This window comes from Homo sapiens, chromosome 7 (assembly GCF_000001405.40).
Source record: "Homo sapiens chromosome 7, GRCh38.p14 Primary Assembly".
Classification (NCBI taxonomy): domain Eukaryota; kingdom Metazoa; phylum Chordata; class Mammalia; order Primates; family Hominidae; genus Homo; species Homo sapiens.
The window spans coordinates 138,379,535-138,403,688 of NC_000007.14; the positions used below are offsets into that span (position 1 = coordinate 138,379,535).

At 41.3% G+C, this 24,154-nt stretch overlaps 1 annotated feature.

Moving 5' to 3' along the window:
* Positions 16,533-17,387: an enhancer, noted in NCBI's record as "OCT4-NANOG hESC enhancer chr7:138080812-138081666 (GRCh37/hg19 assembly coordinates)". NCBI's record gives its function as "activates a minimal SCP1, AML or CMV promoter by ChIP-STARR-seq in naive H9 embryonic stem cells {active_cell/tissue: H9 hESC(naive)}" and the evidence as "EXISTENCE:reporter gene assay evidence [ECO:0000049][PMID:30033119]".

Here is a 24,154-nt window from a genome sequence, read left to right on the forward strand (position 1 = left end):
ATCCTAATCTGCAAATTGTAGTCCATTTTGTGCTGCTACAACAAAATACCTGAGACTGGGTAATTTATAAAGAATAGAAAGTTATTGTCTCACAGTTCTGGAGGCAGGGAAGTTCAAGGTCAAGGCACCAGAAAGTTTAGCGTCTGGTGAGGGCTGCTCTCTGCTTCCAACATGGTGCCATGCTGTTCCATCCAGAGGAGGGAAGAAGTGCTGTGTCCCCTCACAAGGTAGAAGGCAGAAAGGCTACAGAGCAGAAAGCTGCCTGAAGCTGATTTTATAAGGGCCTTAATTACAATCACGAGGGAGGAATGGCTTTATGGCCTAATCACCTCTTAAAAGCCCCATCTCTGGCTGAACGCAATGGCTCATGCCTGTAATCCCAGCACTTTGGGAGGCTGCAGCAGGTGGATCATCTGAGGTCAGTAGTTGGAGACCAGCCTGGCCAACAGCCTGTCTCTACTAGAAGTACAAAATTAGCTGGGTGTGGTGGCAGGTGCCTGTAATCCCAGCTACTCGGGAGGCTGAGGCAGGAGAATCGCTTGAACCTGGGAGATGGAGGTTGCAGTGAGCCGAGATCACCCCACTGCACTCCAGCCTGGGCATCAGAGCAAGACTGTCTCAAAAATAAATAAATAAATAATAAATTATATAGGCAAGAAACTCGTTAATTATTTGATCTGTATTTTTACAATTGGTGCATATATATTACTATACTGTCCGCAACTCTTGTCTGCATGTTATAGAAAACTTAACTAGCAGTGACTCAGAAAAATGAAGTTTTGTTTTGTTTTTTTTTTTCATATAAGGAGTTTGTAGATAGGGAATACTGGCATCAAGGTCCAGGCCAATGTTCTGAGATGCTCTTTGCATATACTTCATGACTAAAAATAGCTGCCAGAGCTCTGGACATTAAGTCTGCTTTCAAGAGAGGAAAAAGAAAAAACAGAAGAGATGGTGTTGGCCACATCTGCCTCTTTCATGAGGAAATAAAAGTCTTTCCCACTATGCACCAATAGTCTTCTGTTTATGTACCAGCAGCCAGAATTGCCTGCAAATAAGATTAAGAAGGTCAGTATTTGGGAGGCTGAGGCGGTGGATCATTTGAGGTCAAGAGTTCGAGACCAGCCTGGCCAACATGGTGAAACCCCATCTCTACTAAAAATACAAAAATTAGCCAGGAGTAGTGACACATGCCTATAATCCCAGCTACTCTGGAGGCTGAGGCAGGAGAGTCACCGGAACCCAGGAGGCAGAGGTTGCAGCAAGCCGAGATCTCGCTACTACACTCCAGCCTGGGAGACAGAGCGAGACTCATCTCAAAAAAGAAAAGGTCAGTATTTTAGGCTTTCCCAGTCTTTGTGGTAGAGATCACCGTGATCTGTGTCTACCATAAAATTGCAGGTGAATTCAACCCTAAACCATTGTGTTCCTTGGACAATTAAGGTCTTTCTGGAACATACATAGCGGAGGAAGCAATCTGGCATCATTTTCTTTTGTAATCTTATGCTTAAACTCTCCTAGTGCTTAAAGCACCTGTTCACTTTTTATTTTATTTTATTTGTATACTTTTTTTGCTTTTTCAGTTTGTTTTGTTTTTTGTTTTTGAAACAAAGCCTCATTCTGCCGCCAAAGCTGGAGTACCGTGGCAAGATCTCGGTTCACTGCAGCCTTGACCTCCTGGGCTCAAAGATCCTCCCACTTAAGCCCCCCGAGTAGCTAGGCATGTAACACCATACCCACCTAATTTTTGTTTATTTTTTGTAGAGATGAAGTCTCAGTATGTTGACCAGCAGGCTGGTCTTGAACTCCCGAGCTTAAGCAATATTCCTGCCTCAGCCTCCCAAAGTGGTTGGATTACAGTTACGAGCCACTTCATCCGGCCTACTTTTTTTTTTTTTTTTTTTTTTTGAGGGATGGGGTCTTGCTATGTCGCCCAGGGTGGTCTCAAACTCCTGACTTCAAGCGATCCTCTCGCCTTGGCCTCCCAAACTGCTGGAGTTACAGGTGCTAGCCACCTTGCCTGGCCTGATTTCTTTAGAGATGTAGTTCATTTTAAGTTTTACTAGAAGGAGGTCAGATGCAGTGGCTCACACCTGTAATCCCAGCACTTTGGGAGGCAAAGGCAGGTGGATCACTTTAAGTCAGGAGTTTGAGACCAGCCTGGCCAACATGGTGAAACCCGTCTCTACTAAAATTACAAAAATTAGCCAGGCATGGTGGAAGGCGCCTGTAATCCCAGCTACTTGGGAGGCTGAGGCTGGAGAAGCGCTTAAACCTGGGAGGTAGAGGTTGCAGTGAGCCGAGATCGCGCCACTGCACTTCAGCCTGGGTGACAGAGTGAGACTCCATCTCAAGAAATAATAATACTAAATAAATTTTACTAGAAGGAAGCTAATACAATTATAGGCAAGTCAATCTGTTGGACAAAGATTCTGGGTTCAGCACCACATATTTCTGTCACATCATGAAACTGCTCCTCTTTGGAGCCCTGTGACAAAATTCAAATATTATGTTTTATAATTCATATTTTCTTAAATAAAAATTATAAAAACAAGAAAGACTAAATTATAAAGATAGAAGGTTAGGCTAGTGTAATAACAAGATACAGCTTCCCATAATTAATTCAGATAGTAAAATTTGTTAATAATTTTAAAGAAGAACTATAGAGATGGGAATCAGTGATCAAAGTAGTTATGTATTTAAGACCAATATTCATTTATTATATTTTTAATAATAATGAACACACCATAATCTATTTTTAGTAATAACATAACAAAAATACTATCACCATAAGATATTCTTTCTTCCCACCTTTCACGAGCTAATTATACAAACAAGCTCTGAGAGCTCAATATCCACCACTTCCATTTTCTTTGACTTTCTTGTTTTTGTCTACGGTGTGACTTTATTTGGCATTTAGATTCTCACACGACATTCATAACAAAATCAATTCCAGGTAAAATAAAAATTAATGTATAGAATGTGTTATAAAGAATAGTAATTTAGGCCAGGTGTGGTGGCTCATGCCTGTAATCCCAACACTCTGGGAGGCCGAGGAGGGCAGATCGCTTGAGCTCAGGAGTTTGAGACCAGTCTGAGCAACGTGGCGAAACCCCATCTCTACCAAAAATACAAAAAATTAGCTGGACATGGTGGTGTGTGCCTGTAATCCCAGCTACTTGGGAGGCTGAGATGGGAGGATCGCTTGAGCCCGGGAGGCAGAGGTTTCAGTGAGCCAGGATCACACCACTGCTCTGGAGCCTGGGTGAGAGAGTGAGACCCTGTCTCAAAAAAAAAAAAAAAAAAAAAGAAGGAAAGAAAAAAATAATAATTTAAAAGCCTTGGTTCTGATGCATGAATAAACAAACAGATCAGTGAAACAAAATATAAACTATAGAAAGAGGTCCAAATGTACATGGAAAGTTAGTAGAGGATAAAGGCAACATATAAAAACAGTAGGGAAAAAGCTGATTTGTGATCAATGGTGTTGGGATGCTGGGAAGCCATCTGGAAAGAAATGAACTTGGCTCCCTTCCTCCTTCCTTTTGCCAAAATAAACTCCACATGACTCCAAATTTTAAATGTAAAACTGAAATCTTAAAAGTAGTAGACAAAAACATAAATTAATTATGGTATGTGTCTAAATAAGATGCAAATCCTGGAAACTATAAAGGAAAAGATTCATAAATGGACTACATAAATATTTAAATTTTTCTGTATGGCCAAAAGTACCACAAACAAACTGAAATAACAAAATAGGGGAAAAAATAAAACATATAGGCAGAGTACTAATTTTCTTGAAATTGGAGAGTCTTAATAAACAATTGCTTTGACTCAGCAATTCCAGTTTTGAAAATTTAACCATTGATATTTCTGCCTATGTACACAGACATACTTACAAAACGGTTCATTGCAGCATTATATGAAGTATAGTAGACTAAGAGGCATCGCTGTTTATCATCCTGAGCTATTCAGTAGAAAATTGGGCAGCTATTTTTTTTAAATGGGCTACATATACACATACTAATCTAGAAAGATATCACAGGTATACCAGTAAGTAAAAGAGAAAAAGAGCAGAAGAAAGTTTGAAACAGGTTATCATTGCTTAAAGGCTATATGTGTGGGTATGAATTGATGAAAGAACAGACCCATTAGTATTTCTGGAGATCTGGGTTGGGAAGAAGTATAATTTGACTTTTTTTCATAAGCATGTAACATATGTGCATGTATTTCTGTTCAAATAAAAAGTAATTTATATACAAAAATAACTTAATACTTACCAAATTTCTAAAGGGGAAGAACTGTAAGAGTAAAGGCAACAGAAACAATCAGGAGGGAAAAGATTTTATCAATTTGACAACATAAAATTAAGACACCTAGGCCAGGTGCAGTGGCTCACAGTTGTAATCCCAACACTTTGGGAGGCCAAGGCAGGAGGATCACTTGAACCTAGGAGTGAATTCAAGACCAGCCTGGGCAACATAGGGAAATTCCATCTCTTCAAAAATTTTTTTAAATTAGCTGGGCATGGTGGTGTGCACTGATAGTTCCAGCTACTCAGGAGGCTAAGATGGGAGGATCACTTGAACCCAGGAGATCGATGTTACAGTGAGCTATAATCACACCACTGCACTCCAGCTTGGCCAACAGAGTGAGACCCTGTCACAAAAAATTAATTAATTAATTAATTAAATTTAATTAATTAAATAAATATGTGGCCAGGCATGGTGGTTCACGTCTGTAATCCCAGCACTTTGTGAGGCCATGGAGGTAGATTGCTTGATCTCAGGAGTTGGAGATCAGCCTGGGCAACATGGCAAAACCCTGCTTCTACAAAAAATATAAAAATTAGCTGGGCATGATGGCAATTGCCTGTAGTCCCAGATACTCAGGAGGCTGAGGCTGGAGGATGGCTTGAGTCTGGGAGGTGGAGGTTGTGGTGAGCTGAGATCGTGCCACTGCACTCCAACCTGGGTGACAGAGTCAGATCTTGTCTCAAAAACAAACAAAAAATAAAATAAAATATCTAAGCTAGCACAGTGACACAGGCCTATAGGCTCAGCTACTTGGGAGGCTAAGGCAGGAGGACCACTTGAGCCCAGGAGTTCAAGGCTGTAGCGTGTGATAAATGCACCTATGAATAGCCACTGTACTCCAGCCTGGGCAACAAGGCAGGAGAGACTCTGTCTCTATTTAAAAAGGGGGGAAAAGAATAATCTAAGATAAAATTAACACAATACAGTACTACTTTTTTTCTCTCAAATAAGCAAAGGTTTCCTAACACAATCACATTTAATGCTAGCACAGATAAAGGGATACCATCACCCTCATGCATGCTGGTGAAAATTTCACATTTAAGAAAGCAATTTGGTGCTGGGTGCAGTGGCTCACGCCTGTAATCCCAGCACTTTTGGAGGCCAAGGCGGGTGGATCACCTGAGGTCAGGAGTTCAAGACCAGCCTGGCCAACACAGTGAAACCCCGTCTCTACTAAAAATACAAAAAAATTATCTGGGCGTTGTAGCACCTGCCTGTAATCCCAGCTACTTGGGAGGCTGTGGCAGGAGAATCGCTTGAACCCGGGAGGTGGATGTTGCAGTGAGCAGAGATCACACCATTGCACTCCAGCCTGGGCGACAGAGCAAGATTCCGTCTCAAGAAAAAAAAAAAAAAAGCAATTTGGCGAACTGATTTCCTTTAAAATTAATTAGAAAAGCCTGTTGATCAAGGAAAGGTAAGTTTATTAGAGGCACTGCAGTAGGGAAGAACATGATCTTGCCAGAATCCAGTAGTTTCTCAGAATGGGAAATTAGGACAGAATGTTTTTAGGGTTTCATTACCTGGGTTGGGTGATGTTTAAAGAAGGCCTTACAAAATGGGGGACTGTTGGGGATTGAGTATAGTTTATGGCATAACTTTTAATTGGTGGGTACAGTGTGGCAGCTGAGTCTTGATTTGTAGGTATGAGTCTTAATAAGTAAACTAATTTGTTGATTCATAAGATATTTCCTGCAGCGAGCAGCTGACTTGCTTTTACTTGTTCTCAGTTTTGTTTTGTTGTTGTTATTATTATTATTTTTTTTTTGGCCCAGGGTCTTGCTCTGTCGACCAGGTTGAAGTGCAGTGGTGGGATCAGGGCTCACTACAGCCTCAACTGCCTGAGCTCAAGCAATTCCCCAACCTCAGCCTCCTGAGTATCTGGGACCACAGATGTGCACCACCATGTCCCGCTTTTTTTTTTTTTTTTTTTTTTCCTTTAAGAAATGAGGTCTCGGCTGGGCGCGGTGGCTCTGGCCTGTAATCTCAGCACTTTGGGAGGCCGAGGTGGGTGTCTCCCCTGAGGTCAAGAGTTCAAGACCAGCCTGGCCAACATGGTGAAACCCCATCTCTACTAAAAATACAAAATTAGCCAGGCATGGTGGCACATGCCTGTAATCCCAGCTACTCAGAAGGCTGCAGCAGGAGAATCGCTTGAACCTGGGAAGCAAAGGCTGCAGTGAGCCAAGATGGCACCATTGCACTCCAGGCTGGACAACAAGAGCGAAACTCCATCTCCAAAAAAAAAAGAAAAGAAAAAGAAATGAGGTCTCACTATGTTGCTGAGGCTGGTCTCAAACTCCTGGGCTCAAGTGATCCTCCTGGGATTTCAGGTATGAGCCACAGCCCCTGGCCTACTGTTCCCAATTACTTATTTATTTATTTATTCATTCATTTTGAGACAGAGTTTTGCTCTGTTGCCCAGCCCAGAGTGCAGTGGTGTGATCTTGGCTCACTGTAACCTCTACCTCCCAGGTTCAAGCGATTCTCCTGCCTCAGCCTCCAAAGTAGCTGGGATTATAGGCGCCTGCTACCACGCCCAGCTAATTTTGTGTTTTCAGTTTCACCATGTTGGCCAGGCTGGTCTCGAACTCCTGACCTCAAGTGACCTGCTTGCCTCAACCTCCCAAAGTGCTGGGATTACAGGCGTGAGCCACCATGCTTGGCCTCAATATTGGTCTCAATATTGTTTAGCAGAGAGAAGGGTGTACGCTTCACCTTAGAATTATTTAGCTCTGGGACAGGAAGTATGTTTGGTCCCAGAATTGTTTAACTTGGGGAAAAGAAAATATGCCTGCTCCCAGTACTGTTTAATAAAGGGACAGGGAAAAACTTAGAATGCAATTCTCACATCAAAAGGCTCAAATGCTCCTTTAAAAAAAAAAAAGTATGTTTCTGTCATTTATTTTTACAGAGAAAAAAAAGAAAAAGTAATTATAAAAATAAAATAACAAAACAGCCTTAACTATCCTTCATATTATAGAGTCCTAGGATAAAGTTTACATACTCGCAGCTCAGGTTCTATCTAAAGCACTTTAACTGTGGTGATGTGAGATAATGTACCTTCTTTTGGGATTTCACACCAATGATGTAATCCATGAGCTAAATTTTTTCAAATGAATAAAGAAATATTCTTCATATTTAAAATATTTCTTACAATATTGCACTGCATACTTTCTGGTATTTTTGACCAGCCAGAGGGATGATATTCAACATATTTTAATAAGCAGCAGTGCATAGGTGTTGAACAAGCAGAATGTGAATGGGATGTAACAAAACCAGTTTTTTTTTTGTTTCTTTTTTTGTTTTTTTTTTTTTGAGATAGAGTCTCGCTCTGTCACCCAGGCTGCAGTATAGTGGCACGATCTCGGCTCACTGCAACCTCCGCCTCCCGGGTTCATGCCATTCTCCTGCCTCAGCCTCCCGAGGAGCTGGGACTACAGGCACCCACCACCACGCCCAGCTAATTTTTTTTTTTTTTTGTATTTTTAGTAGAGACGGGGTTTCATCGTGTTAGCCAGGATGGTCTCAATCTCCTGACTTCGTGATCCACCCACCTCAGGCTTCCAAAGTGCTGGGATTACAAAACCAGTTTTAATATACTAACATACACCAGAAAAATACCAACCTAGCTATTGCACAAGCAGACATCAAATCCACAAATCGATGAGAAAGAAGACTTCACCACCCACTACAGAATCGTAGTGAGCTTAACACAACATAAATTTATTCCTCATTAATGTTACACGTCTTTTTTTTTTTTTCCAATTTTATTTACTTTTTTTGAGACAGAGTCTCACTCTGGCAGGATCTGGGTTTGCTGCAACCTCCGCCTTCTGGGTTCACGCAATTCTCCTGCCTCAGACTCCCAAGTAGCTGGGACTACAGATGTGTACCACCACGCCCAGCTAATTTTTGTATTTTCAGTAGAAACGGGGTTTCACCATGTTGGCCAAGTTGGTCTCGAACTCCTGACCTCAGGGGATCTGACTGCCTCAGCCTCCCAAAGTGCTGGGATTATAGGCATGAGCCACCACACCCAGCCACTGATGTTACACTTCTACTGAGAGTTTATGGGGCTCTGCTGTGTCACTCAGAACCCACAATGATAGAGCAGTCATTACCTGGAATAATGCCAATCACTGTGCAAAAATGAAACAAAGCCATTGAGGTTCTCACATTAGCAATTATGGGTCACTTCTGCTCACAACTCATTTGTCAGAACTAGTAGCTAGACCCCACACAATCACAAGGGGCCAGCAAGCACAATTTTATATGCTCAAAAGGGGTTAACAAAACATATACTGAATGGCAGTAGTAACTACCACAGGATACCTATCATTGTCTGATGGGTTCTTCCTGCCTGCTGCACAGACAAAATCAATTCACTGATACAACTGCAGTATTGCAGTAAAGAAAGAATGTAATTAATGCAAGGTCAGCCAAACCGTAGGATGGGAGTTTTATTATTACTCAAATCAGCCTCCTGGAGAACTCAGAGGCTAGGGTTTTTATGGATAATTTGGCAGGCAGAGAGCTAGGGAATGGGTGCTGCTGATAGGTTGGAGATGAAATTATATAGGTGTGAGGCCGGGCGCAGTGGCTCACGCTTGTAATCCAGCACTTTGAGAGGCCGAGGCAGGCGGATCATGAGGTCAGGAGTTCAAGACCAGCCTGGCCAACATGGTGAAACCCTGTCTCTACTAAAAATACAAAAATTAGCTGGGCATGGCAATGGTTGCCTGTAATCCCAGCTACTCAGGAGGCTGAGGCAGGAGAATCGCTTGAACCCAGGAGGCGGAGGTTGCAGTGAGCCGAGATCGAGCCACTGCACTCCAGCCTGGGCAACTGAGCTAGACTCCATCTCAAAAAAAAAAAAAAGAAATTATGCAGGTGTGGAAGAAGTCCTTGTGAGCTGAGTCCATCATGAGTCATGGGTCTAGGTGGGGTTAGTCAGTGGCCAGAATGCAAAAGTCTGAATAACATTTCAAAAGACCAATCTTAGGTTATCCAATCCTGATGTTATCTACAGGAGCAATTGGGCAAGTCACAAATCTTGTGACCTCCAGCCCTATGACTCCTGAGCTAGTAAAAGATTATAGAAACTATGCCTATCTTATCAGAATTCAGGCCCCTCTCATAATCCTAATCTTGTGGCCTTTCATTAGTTTTACAAAGGCAGTTTGATTTTGGGAAGAGCTGTTAAAGCAAAGATGTTTGCTTTAAGGTTAAACTATAAACTAAATTCCTCCCAAAGTTAGCTTGGCCTATACCCAAAAATGATCAAAGACAGCTTGGAGGTCAGAAGCAAAATGGAGTCAACTGGGTCAGATGTCTTGCTGTCATAATCTTGCAAAGGCAGTTTCAGCATCACTGCCAATCATTTAGGCTAGAAAAGGGAGTTTGAGAATTCAGTGTCTTATCTGTGTAGTTTTATTTATCTGCTTCTCCTTATACGGGAGTGGGGGTCCAGGGAGGAAAGGTAGTAATGATTGACTTTGCTATTAGAATTTTTGAATAAAAAGAACAGACCTCAATCTCAAGGAGGGTTGAGGAAAAAGTGCAGTCAACTTGGGATAATGGATTAATATTAAGTTTAAAAATACTATTGAAAAATCTTTGTGACACTTTATACTTCCATGAATTCTAAATGTTTTTTGCACCATTTTCTCCAATGAACCAATTAATATAGTGCTTGGCAAGGGAGTAGCATCAATCTGGGCTGGGCGTGGTGGCTCAAGCCTATAATCCCAGCACTTTGGGAGGCCAAGCCGGGTGGATCACCTGAGGCTGGGAGTTTGAGACTAGCCTGACCAACATGGAGAAACCCCATCTCTAATAAAAATACAAAAAAATCAGCCGGGTGTGGTGGTGCATGCCTGTAATCCCAGCTACTCGGGAGGCTGAGGCAGGAGAATCGCTTGAACCCAGAAGGCGGAGGTTGTGGTGAGCTGAGATTGTGCCATTGCACTCCAGCCTGGGCAACAAGAGTGAAACCCCGTCTCAAAAAAAAAAAAAAAAGAATCAATCTGTTCTTTGGTCAAGAATTCCTTCTCAACAAAGAGTGCAAGGAAGGCATATCAGGCACAGAAAAGCATTATTTAATATCAATGAGTCAGTCCGGGCATAGTGGCTCATTTCCCTGTAACCCCAGCACTTTGGGAGGCCAAGGTGGGTGGATCACTTGAGGTCAGGAGTTTGAGATCAGCCTGGCCAACATGGTGAAACCCTGTCTCCACTAAAAATACAAAAATTAGCTGGGCGCAGTGATATGCGCCTGTAGTCCTAGCTACTCGGGAGGCCGAGGCAGGAGAATCGCTTGGACCCAGGACCGGAGTTTGCTGAGCTGAGATTGCGCCACTGCACTCCAGCTGGGGCGACAGAGTGAGACTCGGTCTCAAAAAAAAAAAAAAAAAAAAAAAATCCATGAGTCAATGAATGGAATAGAACTAATAACTCATACTGGGCTGGTTAGAATAGAAGACCCTGTAGGAAATAAAGGCAAGAGAAAGTTAGATTGATTGAGATCAGTCACCAGGGAGCGTCACCAGTGCCTTCCTTTCTTGTGTATAACATTTTATTCTAGGCCCCTTTCACCTTCTCCTGGGATTATCACAAAATATTTCTAGACATTGCATTTGCCTCCAATCTGCTTCTTTAAATGTTTTCTAATTATTAGGGCAATGTGTTCCTCAAATGTCACTTTCATTATATGAATCTGCAATTGTAATCTATGTTCATCCCTTCAGTCTCTTGAAGGCCCTATCCATTTAGCCTCATATTATCATTTACTTGGAATTTTACAGGTTAGTTAAGGCTATTATGAGGGATAATATTCACAAGTATTTTCTGAAAGTAGAAATAGGCTGGATACAGTGGCTCATGTCTATAACCCCAGCATTTTGAAAGGCAAAGGCAGAAGGATCGATTGAGGCCGTGAGTTCAAGACCAGCCTGGGCAGCATAGCGCCAGGCGCAGTGGCTCACGCCTGTATTCCCAGCACTTTGGGAGGCTGAAGTGGGTGGATCACTTGAGGTCAGGAGTTCGAGATCAGCCTGGCCAATATGGCAAAACACCGTCTCTACTAAAAACACAAAAATTACCTAGCTGTGGTGGTGCATGCCTGTAATGCTAGCTACTGGGGAGGCTGAGGCACGAGAATAGCTTGAACCTGGGAGGTGGAGGTTGCAGTGGGCCGAGATCACACCACTGCACTCCAGCCTAGGCAACAAAGCAAGACTATGTTTCAAAAAAAAAAAAAAAAAAAAAAAAAAAGACCAGCCTGGGCAGCATAGCAGAACTCTGTTTCTAAAAAAAAATAAATAAATAAAATTAAATTAAATTAAATTAAAATTAAAATAATTTTTTTTGTTTTGTTTTGCGATGGAGTCTCACTCTGTTTCCCAGGCTGGAGTACGGTAGTACGATCTCAGGTTAGTGCAACCTCTGCCTCCTGGTTTCCAGCGATTCTCCTGCCTCAGCCTCCTGAGTAGCTGGGATTACAGGCATGCACCACCACGCCTGGCTAATGTTTTGTATTTTTAATAGAGACAGGGTTTCACCATGTTGGCCAGTCTGGTCTCAAACTCCTGATCTCAGGTGACCCGCCTGCCTCGGCCTCCCAAAGTGCTGGGATTACAGATGTGAGCCACCGCAGCCACCCCCCACCAAAATTTTTTTAATTAGCCGGGCTGAGCACCATGGCTCACTCCTATAATCCCAGCACATTGGGAGGCCAAGGCAGGAGGATTGCTTGAGCTCAGGAGTTCTAGACCAGCCCAGGGAACATAGTGAGACTCCGTTTCTACAAAATTTTCTTTTAAAACTTAGCCAGGCATGGTGGCACACTCCTGTAGTCCTAGCTATGCAGGGGGCAGAGGTGGGAGGATTGCTTGAGTCCAGGAGGTTGAGGTGACAGTGAGTATGATTGCACCACTGCACTCCAGCCTGGGCAGCAAAGTGAGAACCTGTCACTAAAAAAAAACAAAAAAAAGTATAAATAGATAGTGTTCTAAATCACTGTAGAATGACTATAGTTAACAATAATGTATCATATAGTTTCAAATAGCTATAAGGCGGCTATTGAATGTTCCTAACACAGAAATGATATATAGTTAACAATATGTGGCCAGGCATGGTGGCTCAAGTCTGTAATCCTTTGGGAGGCCAAGGCAGGTGGATCACAAGGTCAAGAGATCGAGACCATCCTGGCCAACATGGTGAAACCCCATCTCTGCTAAAAATACACAAATTAGCTGGGTGTGGGTGTCTCAAAAACAACAACAACAACAACAAACAATATGTATCATTTCTGTGTTGGGAACATTCAATAGCCTCCTTATAGCTATTTGTTAACAATATGTATCATTTCTGTTGGAAACATCCATATAGTTAACAATATGTATCAATATGTATAGTTAACAATATGTATCAATATGTATAGTTAACAATAACTGTTGATACATTTGTATCATATCATTTCAAATAGCTATAAGGAGGCTATTGAATGTTCCCAACACAGAAATGATACATGTTTGAGATGATGAATATGCTAATAATCCTGATCTGGTCACTATATATTATATGTATCAAAACATCACTAGGTATCCCATGAATATGTACAATTATTGCCAATTGTTTTAAATGGAGGAGAATAATGGCTATCATAAAAAAAAAACAAAAGATAACAAGTGTTGAAGAGGATGTGGAGAAAAGGGAGCCCTTACACACTGTTGGTGGGAATGTAAATTAGTACAGCCATTATGGAAATCAGTATGGAGGCTCTTCCAAAAATTAGAAATAAAATTACCATATGATCTACCAATCCCAATACTGGGTATATATCCAAAGGAAATGAAATCAGTATGTCGAAGAGATATCTGACTCTCATGTTTGTTGCAGCACAATTCACAATAGCCAAGATAAGTAATCAACCTAAGTTTCCACCAACAGATAAATTAATAAAGAAAATGTGGTATCTATACATGATGGAGTACAATTCAGCTATGAAAAGGAATGAAATCCTGTTATCTTATTTGACGTGGATGAACCTGGAGAGCTTATGTTAAGTGAAATAAGCCAGGCACAGAAAGATAAATACCATATGATCTCACTCATATGTGAAATCTAAAAATGTGTTCACATAGAAGTACAGAATACAACAGTGTTTGCCAAAGACTGGGGAAGGGAGGGGCTGGGGAGAGTAAGAATGAGATGAAGCAGGGACTCCTCTTAGGGGCCTGTTGGACACCCCCCCAAGCATGGAAATAAAGGAAAACCTTGAGTTCCTTCAAGGGAAACTCCAGGCACCCAGCTAGCCTTGAGAAGTAAATGAACTGGATAAGCAAGAAGGTAATAGTAGCTTAAAGCAATAGCCAAGAAAGTTCAAGTCACAAAATGATTGATTCCAAATAAAATTTAAAGACAACATCTTAACGTTTGTCACTGAGATGTTTCTCAGAAACCCAGACCCCCACCAGAAGTACAGAAGTTCTTTCTGAACTTCTTCCTGAGGGACCTGGGGGAAGTCAAACCCACAGGCTACATCTAAGATTCTTTTCTGAGGACCCCAAGCTTTAGACAAAGCTTCCCTTCCTTCCTTCCTTCCTTAACCAGTTGCAAATGGAACAATCTTTGAATCTCCCTAAGACCTATAAGTAGCCCCCCCACCTCACCCCTGCCATATGGTTTTGATCTGTGTCTCCAACTAAATCTCATGTCAAATTGTAATCCCAGTGTTGGAGATGGGGCCTGGTGGGAGGTGATTGGTGATTGGATGGTGGGGGCAGATTTCCCTTTTGGTGCTGTTCTTTTTTTTTTTTTTTTTTTTTGAGACGGAGTCTCGCTCTGTCCCCCAGGCTGGAGTGCAATGGCGCGGTCTCGGCTCACTGCAAGCTCCGCCTCCCCGGTTCACGCCATTCTCCTGCCTCAGCCTCCCGAGTAGCTGGGACTACAGGCGCCCGCCACCACGCCCAGCTAATTTTTTGTATTTTTAGTAGAGACGGGGTTTCACCATGTTAGCCAGGATGGTCTCGATCTCCTGACCTCGTGATCCGCCCGCCTCAGCCTCCCAAAGTGCTGGGATTACAGGCGTGAGCCACCGCGCCCGGCCAGATTTCCCTTTTGGTGCTGTTCTTATGATAGTGAGTGAGTTATCATGAGATCTGGTTGTCTAAAAGTGTACAGCACCTCCTCCACCCGCTTCCCCCAGCTCTGGCCATGTGAAGACGTGCTGCCTGCTTCCCCTTTGCCTTTGCCATGATTTTAAGTTTCCTGAGGCCTCCCCAGCCATGCTTCAGCCTGCAGACTGTGAGCCAATTAAACCTCTTTTCTTTATAAATTACCCAGTCCCAGGTACTTCTTTATAGCAGTGCAACAACGGACTAATACACCCGCCTTTAAGATATCCCACCACTTTAGGCCAAAGTATAACCTCCATGCATTGATTTACAATTTTGCCTGTAACGTCTGCTTTCCTGATCTGCACCCCACCATTAAAAACCCTCGCGTGTACGTATGGCGCGGTGGCTCATCCCTGTAATCCCGGCGCTTTGGGAGGCTGAGGCGGGTGGATCACCTGAGGTCAGGAGTTCCAGACCAGCCTGGCCAACATGGCAAAACCCCGTCTCTACTAAAAATACAAAAATTAGCCGGGCGTGGTGGCGCATGCCTGTAATCCCAGCTACTTGGGAGGCTGAGGCAGTAGAATCGCTTGAACCTGGGAGGCAGAGGTTGCAGTGAGCCGAGATGGCACCACTGTACTCCAGACTGGATGACAGAGCAAGACTATGTCTCGAACAAACAAACAAAACCCTTGTTTGTAAGCTTTTGGAGAGGTCAGGCCTTAAGCCTGAGCTGCCTGATTGTCTTTGTTTGGCGCTCTGCAAATAAACGCCCTCCTTTCTCCCACTGCGAAACCTCAGTGTGGATGTTTGGTCTTAGCGCACCCAGCAAACAGACCCCAGTTCGGTTCAGTAACAGGAAGAGAATGGTCAACAAGTAGGAAGTTGTAATTAGGAAGAAAAAGTTGTGGTGTCCTGCACAAAGAGTGACTATAGTTACCGATAATGTATTGCATATTTCAAAATAGCTGGAAGAGAAAATTTTGAATGTTCTCACTACAAAGAAATGATAATGTCTGAGGGGAGAGATATGCTTAATTACTCTGATGTAATCATCACACAGTGTATGCATGTGTATATATAAAACAAAGCATCACATTGTACTAAACAGATATGTACAGTTATATGTAAATTTAAAAGTTTTTAAATAAAAAATAATGGAAATATAAAAGTTATCCACAGTTATATTATTTCTATAGAAACAATTGTTTTTCTTCTTCTTTTTTTTGAGACAGGGTCTCACTCTGTCCCCCAGAATGGAGTGCACTGCCTGGACTTCCCAGGCTCAAATGATCCTCCCACCTCAGTCTCTCAAGTAGCTGGGACCCCAGGAGCCCACCACCACACCTGGCTAATTTTTTTTTTTTTTTCCTAGAGATAGGGTTTCACCATGTTGCCCAGGCTGGTCTTGAACTCCTGAGCTCAAGCAATCCACCCACCTCAGCCTCCTGAAGTGCTGGGATTACAGGTGTGAGCCACCATGCCCAGCCATAACAATTCTTGAACAAGGCACTTAATCTCTCAAAACTTAAAAATTTTTTTAAAAATTAAATTTCTTATTTCTTTAGAGACAATGGTCTTCGTATGTTGCCTAGGCTGCTGTGAAACTCCCGTGATCCTCCCACCTCAGCCTGCCAAAATGCTGGGATTACAGGCATGGGCAACCGCGCCTGGCCAAAACTTCAATTTTTAAAAAATCTGATTCAAGTCATAGAAGAGTTGCTAAAAAATCAAACAAACAAAAATCTATAAAATGTAGGCAATTTTTTTTCCTGAGAATTAAATACATAAAAAGCATTTAGTAAAGTGCCAGGCATACAGTAATAGTTCCCACAAAAGTTTATTAAATTTTATTTATTTAAAAATTTAGACCCCTTTCTACAAAAAATAAAAATAATTAACCAGGCATGAAAGCACATGCCTCTGGTCCTAGCTACTTGGGAGGCTGAAGTGGGAGAATCGCTTGAACTCAGGAGGTTGAAGCTGCAGTGAGCCGTGATCACACCACTGCACTCCAGCCTGGGCAACAGAGCAAGACCCTGTCTCAAAAAAAAAAAAAATTACCGACTAACATCTGCATAAATATTTAAATAACAAATTGAGAATAAAACTTAAGAAAAAAATCAACTAAGTATCAAATAATTACTTTCTTAACTCTTAAACTGCCTAATCTAATGACATTCTAAGGCCAAAGAAAAAACTGATTTTGCTCCCAATTCTTGGTTTCCCATTAAGTGAGGTCTATCTGCAAGTTAAGGTTAAAAGTTCCTCTTGAACTAGAACCTTATAAGTGATTGTGCTTCACCTCAGGTGGTTCCCTTCCAATCAACATTCTGCCCATTTTCCTTCCCTTTGCACTTAAACACTTTTAGCACCATATAGCTTCCTGGCTCCAAATTACACTCTTAAATTGCCATTTAAAAACTGCTCTTCCTTAGAGCCAAGCAAAAGGACAGTATATTACAAAAGCAAAGATCACAGCTATACCCAGCCTAGGTCTACAACCTGATTGTCCGCTTTCAATGCTGAGAAGGTTGTCCTGGCAACCAGCTTTACTAACTTGCTCTATTTCTCTCTCCTAAAGCCTTTGAAGTGAGCCCCTCCTCCTTCCCAGCCTTTGAAGTGGTTCTGAATAGAATACTAAAGATTACCTATTAACTGGCCTAGCAGATTTTGATCACCCCAGAAACACCTGGGGCATTTTCTTGAGCCACAGGCACAGCACAGGCACAGAGTTTCATGTGATTACAGCCCAACCTGCTAGTGTAATTATTAATAACTAATCAACCAACTAATATTTCTTGAATATTTCCCATATCCTGGGCACTTTGATGGGTTCTACAAATATAAGAGTGAAATCCAGTCTCTGACCTCCATAGTTTCAATCTAGTGCCACCTAATCCTCTAACCTGCACTCTCCAGGGTAATAGCCATGGCCATACATGACCATCAAGAATTTCAAATGTGACCGGTCCAAAGTGAAATGTACCATAATGAAAAGTATTCATTGGAGCCAGCTGCAGTGGGATGCGTCTATAGTCCAAGCTACTGGGGAGGCTGAGGAAGGAGGATTGATTGATGCCAGGAGTTGGAGATCAGCCTGGGCAACATAGTGAACCCCATATCTACAAAAAACTTAATAAAAAAAAAACTTAGCAGGGCATGGTGGTGCATAGCTGTAGTTCCAGCTACTCAGGGGGTTAAGGCAGGAAGGTTATTTGAGTCTAGGAGTTTAAGGCTGCAGTGAGCTATGATCATGCCACTGCATTCCAGCCTGGGTAGGAGTGAGACCCTATCAGCGGGGTGTGGTGACTTACACCTGTAATCCCAGTACTTTGAGAGGCCAAGGTGGGTGGATCACTTGAGATCAGGAGTTCGAGACCAGCCTGGCCAACATGGAGACACCCTGTCTCTACTAAAAATACAGAAATTAGCCAGGCGTAGTGGCAGGTGCCTGTAATCCCAGCTACTCAGGAGGCTGAGGCAGGAGAATCACTTGAACCCAGGGCACGGAGGTTGCAGCGAACCAAGATTGTGCCACTGCACTCCAGCCTGGGTGACAGAGTGAGACTCCATCTAAAAAAAAAAAAAAAATGAAAAAGAAAAAAAGAAAAGAAAAGAAAGAAAGAAAAAGTTAATCCACAGATTGGGAGAATATATTTGTAAATCACATATCTGATAAGGACCTCATATACAGACTATATAAAAGAAATTTTATGATTTGATAATAAAAAGACAATCAAATTTAAAAATGGGCAAAGGATCTAAAAGACATTTTTCTAAAGAAATGGCCAATAAGCACATGAAAAGATATTCAACATCATTAGCCATCAGGAAAATGCAAATGAAAACAATAACAAGATGCTACTTCACAACCACTAGGAAAGATGGCCTATAATAAAAAAGACAAATAGTAACAAGCATTGGAGAGGATATAAGAAACTGGAACCCTAATACATTGCTGGTGGGGTGTGTTTTGGAAAATAGTCCGTCAATTCCTCAAAACCATAAACATAAACTTACCATAGGACCACACAATTTTACTGATAAGTAGAGACCCAAGAGAACTAAGAGTGTATATCCACACAAAACTTGTATACAAATGTTTATGCAGCAATATGAATGATAGCAGAAAATGAAACAAACTAAATGTGCATTAGCTGATGAACAGATACGTAAAATGTGGTCTATCCATATAATAAAAAAATTATTTGACAATAAAAATAAATTAAATACTACTGATATGTTTTACATTGAAGCTTGAAAACATCAAATGCTAAGTAAAAGAAGCCAATCACATAAGATTACGTATTGCAAGATTCCATTTATATGAAATGTCTAGAGTAGGCATATCTATAGGGACAAAAAATAGATTTGTGACAGTCTAGGGTTGGTGGGACTAGAGACAAATGGAATGGCTGTGGAAGGATGTGGGGGGTTTCTTTTGGGTTTGATAAAAAGGTTCTAAACTTAGATTGTAGTGTTGGTTGCACAACTCTGTAAATACACTAAAAATTTTGAATTGTTTATTTTAAATGGGTAAATTGTATGGTATGTCAATTTCATCTGAATAAAGTTGTTAAAATGTAATCAAGGTATTTCTAATAAAGAGTGAAAGCCAACTGCCACTGTTCTCAGCAATCATCTACAACACTGTCTTTGTCCATTTGTGCTGCAATAACAAAATACCTGTGGCTGGGTAATTTAGAAAGAACATAAATTTATTCCTTACAGTTTCAGAGGCTGAGAAGTCCAAGATCAGGGCACTGACAGGTTTGGTGTCTGGTGATGGCTCTGTCTCTGTTTCCAAGATGACAGCTTAAATGCTGTGTCCTCATATGGCAGAAAGGAGGGTGAGGCAAAGGCCTATGTTGTTCCCTCCAGTCCTTTTAAAGGTTGTTAATCCCACTTATGAGGGCTCAAGAACAGACTGGGCAACATAGTGAAACCCCATCTCTACAAAAATTAAAAAAAAAAAAAATTAGCCAGGCATGTTGGCATGTGTCTCTAGTCCTAACTACTCAGGAGGCTGAGGTGGGAGGATTGTTTGAACCCAGGAGTCCAAGGCTGCAGTGAGCTATGATCATGCCACTGCACTCCAGCCTGGATGACTTATTCCCCAGGACTTAGTCACCTCCAAAAGGCATTATCTCTCAATGCTATCGCAGTGGAAATTAAGTTTCAATATGTGAATTTTTTTTTTTTTTTTGAGACAGGGTCTCACTCTCTTGATGAGGTTAGAGTACAATGGCAAGATTATAGCTCATTGCAGCCTCCAACTCCTGAGCTCAAGTGATCCTCCTGCTTCAGCCTCTCAAGTAGCTGATACAGGCACATGAAACCACACCTGGCTAATTTTTTTAAATTTTTTTGTAGAGATGGGGTCTCTCTGTGTTGCCTAGGCTGCTCTCGAATGCTTGGCTTCAAGCGATCCTCCTGCCTTAGCCTCCCAAAGTGCTGGGATTACAGGTGTGAGCCACTGCTCCCAGCCCACATGAATTTTGCAGGACACATTCAAACCATAGCAAACAGGGACTTGGCAAATTGACAAATTTTATGCATTTTTCAATATCAAAAATCACAAACCAGATGGAGCTTTAGGAGCCTTCTCCATTCCATGCTTCACTACATACTAATCAGACTTGGCATTCAAGATATATTGTTGTGCCATTCCAGCTACATGTTCTTAAATATGCTAAGAAATAAAAAATGATTAGAAAGTAATATGGAAAAATGTTCACAGTCATAGTCTCTCTGGATGGTGGGACTTTTATCCTGAACTTTCCTAACTTTGAACAGCATGTATTAGTTTATAATCAGTAAAAAAACATTATCTTTAAAATAAAAAGGTATTTTCCTATCTTACTGGGGAGCAGTGTGGTAGTAGTGATTAATCAATATTCATAATGTATTATCCCTTGGGTCCTGGGGGCCTAAAACAAGTAAATATGATGTAATGAATATTTTTAAATCTTCAATAAAGTTATTATAAAATTTCAAAATTTTATAATAGGAGATAGCAGAATTTGTCATCACTTTCTGAGGAATGGTGTTAGGTATCTGTGAAGTCCACAGAGCAATCTTTTTTTCTCTTTCAGACAGCGTCTCACTGTCACCAAGGCTGGAGTGCAGTGGCATGATCATAGCTCACTGCAGCCTTGGAATCCTGGCTTCAAGTGATCCTCCCATCTCAGCCTCCTGAGTAGCTAGGACTACAGGCACATACCACCATGCCTAGCTAATTTTTTAAAAGTTTTCTGTGGAGACAGGGTTTCACTATGTTGCCCAGGCTGCTCTAGGGCTCTTGGCCTAAAGCAGTCTTCCTGCCTCAGCCTCCCAAAGCGCTGGGATTATAGGCATGGGCCATCACACCCAAACCACAGAGCAATCTTCTTTCTCAACATTGCTATCACAACTATTGAACATGGCCATCAGGGTAGGCTATATTGGGCTGAAGCAATGCAGAATATGCCATGTGCCACTCTGGCTTAAGGATTGTTTTGTGCTAAAGGCAATTGAGAATCAACAAATTCAGGAAGAGTTTTGTTCTCGCCATCTGCCTAAAAGCAGGCCGTAAATTTTTCTTTAATGAAAGTGTCACAGACATACACACACACGCATACACACACACACATTCCCCCTAACCTCTCCACCAGACCAGGGAGAGAAGAGCCACTCATCCTCAAGACGGGAAGTTGATGCCAAGATGAGTTTGCATAAACAGGTCTTACTCAAGCAGCCCTTATCTTCCATTAGTTCCCCCAGATGTTTCCTAGCCTTTTCCCCACAAATGATCATCCTTTAAGTCCAAACCCTCTTTCCATTGTTAAAAGGGTATATGAATCCCTGAGTCTAATCTCTTCTTTGAGTTTCACTTCTTTCCTCTGAACTCGTGTACACATAAATACTAATGCGGATTGGGTACTTTCTCCTGTTAATCTGTCTTTTGTCAGTTTAACTCACATACCTCCAGTTACAGAAATTAAGAAGACAGAGGCAAAGCTTTTTTCTCCCTGACATTTCTTGATTTTTAAAAATTATTAAATAATCTTCTTTACATAAAAATATTTTAAGAACTAAAAATTTATTAATATTGTTTTTATTGCTTTTATTTGTCAAGTATTGTGTAAAATTTATTAGGTTTTTATGTATTCCTTTTCTCCCTCAACTAGAATCCAAGCTTGAGGGAAAGACTATGTCCTAATGTAATGAGTGTTCAAATTCCCCTAAAATAGACCTTTTGAGGGAAAGGGAAAAATAAAATAAAATAAAATAAAATAGTCCTTTACATAGTGAAGGTAATCAGTAAGCAGTTATTAGATCTGTCTGTTATAAAACATTTTTTAGCAACAAAAAAGCATGCATTGTTGGTTGCTTTACATAAATGTCTCCAGCAACTACTTTGTGCTTAGCTACTAATCCACATATTTATAGCTCATTTTATTCTATGCCATATCGCCATGTTTACAAATCATCCTTTGGTTTTTATAGCCTATTTTATAGTTGCCTTTAAAATTTTGGTCTTTTGTAAAAGTCATCCTATATTCTAAAAACAAAAATGACTTATGTTTGAGTAACAAATGTGTTTTAATTTATGAAAAGTCTTTCTTGCATCTTATATTTCCATATCATATTTACTGAAGCTTGCATTTGAGTAGATTCTTATGATTTCTTTCTTTAGCAGAATTTTGCAGCTATTAAAATTAAAAAGCAAACTTTCAGTTTGAAATTAAACATTGATCTTACGGAATGTATTTAATAGTAATCAAATATCTGTAAGCAAATGTTCCTCATAATTAAAGTATGCCGTTCTAAATCTTATCTGTTCTTGGGCAATCTCACCACATATGAAAAAGATTACCTTTCATTCTGTCTTCACACTCCTTGATATTTGGATGAGTCAAAGGGTACATACATGTGAAGCAGTCCTACATTCTCTATCACTAGACTGAGTTGAAAGACTCTTTCGTGTTTCATGTAAATATCAGAACCAAATAAGATGGAATTTTTTAATCACCTCCTTCGTCGTTTCTTTCCTTACTTTCCTTCCTTTCCCCACCCCCACCAGTCTATCCCCAGTCATCTCTTCTTTCAAACTATCTCCAGATTAACAGTCAATCATATAACGTTCCTGCATACAAGGTTTTAATGGTTCATCCATTGCCTGAATAAAGCCTAATGTCAATACTAAAAGGAGACACATGGTGAAGGATATTGACTATTGTCTGGCTTGTCAAGGTGACATTTGCCTTGTTGAAGTCATCATTTTTGTGGTACGTCTTCATTTGAATTATGTTTGTCAATTTGCTAAGAGCACCGGTTCTCACTAAAGTAACGGAAGACTGACATGTAAACAACAATACTGCTATGGTCTCAATATTTGTGTCTCCCAAAATTCATGTGTTGAAACCTAACCCTCAAGGTGATGTTATTAAGAGGAAGGGCCTTTTAGGAGTGATTAAGTCAGGAGGGCAGAGCCCTTATGGATGGAATTAATGCTGTTATATAAAAAAGGCCTCAGGAAGCTCAGTCCCTTCTACCATGTAAGGATGCAGCATAAAGATACCATCCATGAGAAAGCTGGCCTTCTTCACACACAGAGCCTGCCACTGCCTTGATCTCAGACTTCCCAGGCTCTGGAACTGTGAGTAATAAATTTTATTGTTTATAAGCTACCGAGTTTTAAGGTATTTTGTTATACCAGCCTGAACAGACTAAGACAAACACCAATGTATTTAAGTACAATAAGAAATTTGGCCAGACGTGGTGGGTCATGCCTGAAATACCAACACTTTGGGAGGCCAAGGTGGGACTACCACTTGAGCCCAGTTCAAGGAGGTCAGCCTGGGTAACATGGCAAGACTCTCTCAAAGGGGAGGGGAGGGGAGGGGAAGGGAGGGGAAGGGGAGGGGAGGGGAGGGGGAGAGAGAGGGGAGGGGAGGGGAAAAGAAAAGAAGGGAAGAATTTTTGTTGTTGTTAGAGCAACTCCGCAAAATAAAATTCCTGTTACTTGTTGGACAACATTGTTTTATACATACATCAAACAGGCCAAAAAAATAATAAACAGCAACTCCATAGACAAAAAAGGGAAAAAAAAGAAACCTTTTATCTTTGGCCTTTTTAACCATCTCATACAAACCAACTACTTGTGGTACAGCTAAGTACATACCCAAAAAAGTTACTGGAATGCTCGTGTTAGATATGAGTTCTAAATTTCTTTTCAAATAATTACTATGTCAGTATGTTCAGTTCTTTGCCTTCTACTTTTAAACTTAACTTCCTCGTAAAGCAACCTTTTTCGATTACCTACTCCATCCTAACTCATTCCAATTACCTACTCCACCCTGACTCATTCTGATCACCTGCTCCACCCTACATTCCAATCACCTGCTCCACCCTAACTCATCCCAATTACCTGATCTGCCCTGACTCCCGCCAGAGCACTCACCCTGTCATTCTCTTTAAATTAGCCAATCGGAATTAGTTCAGCCTGTGCGGTCCAACCCTAGCCAATAGGGGAACGACACAGCGGCAGGGGCCACGTGCGTCAGGGATAAGAAGCCCTTCCCCTCCCTTGTCCAAGTGTGAGCTCACCATTGCTCCGTCTGTAAGGGCGCACCCTTCTATATAGAAGTAACTTGCCTTGCTGAGAATTAAAAAGAAAATTTTATATTTGAGTGCTATTCCTTTTGCGGCACCGAAACTTTATGTATAACA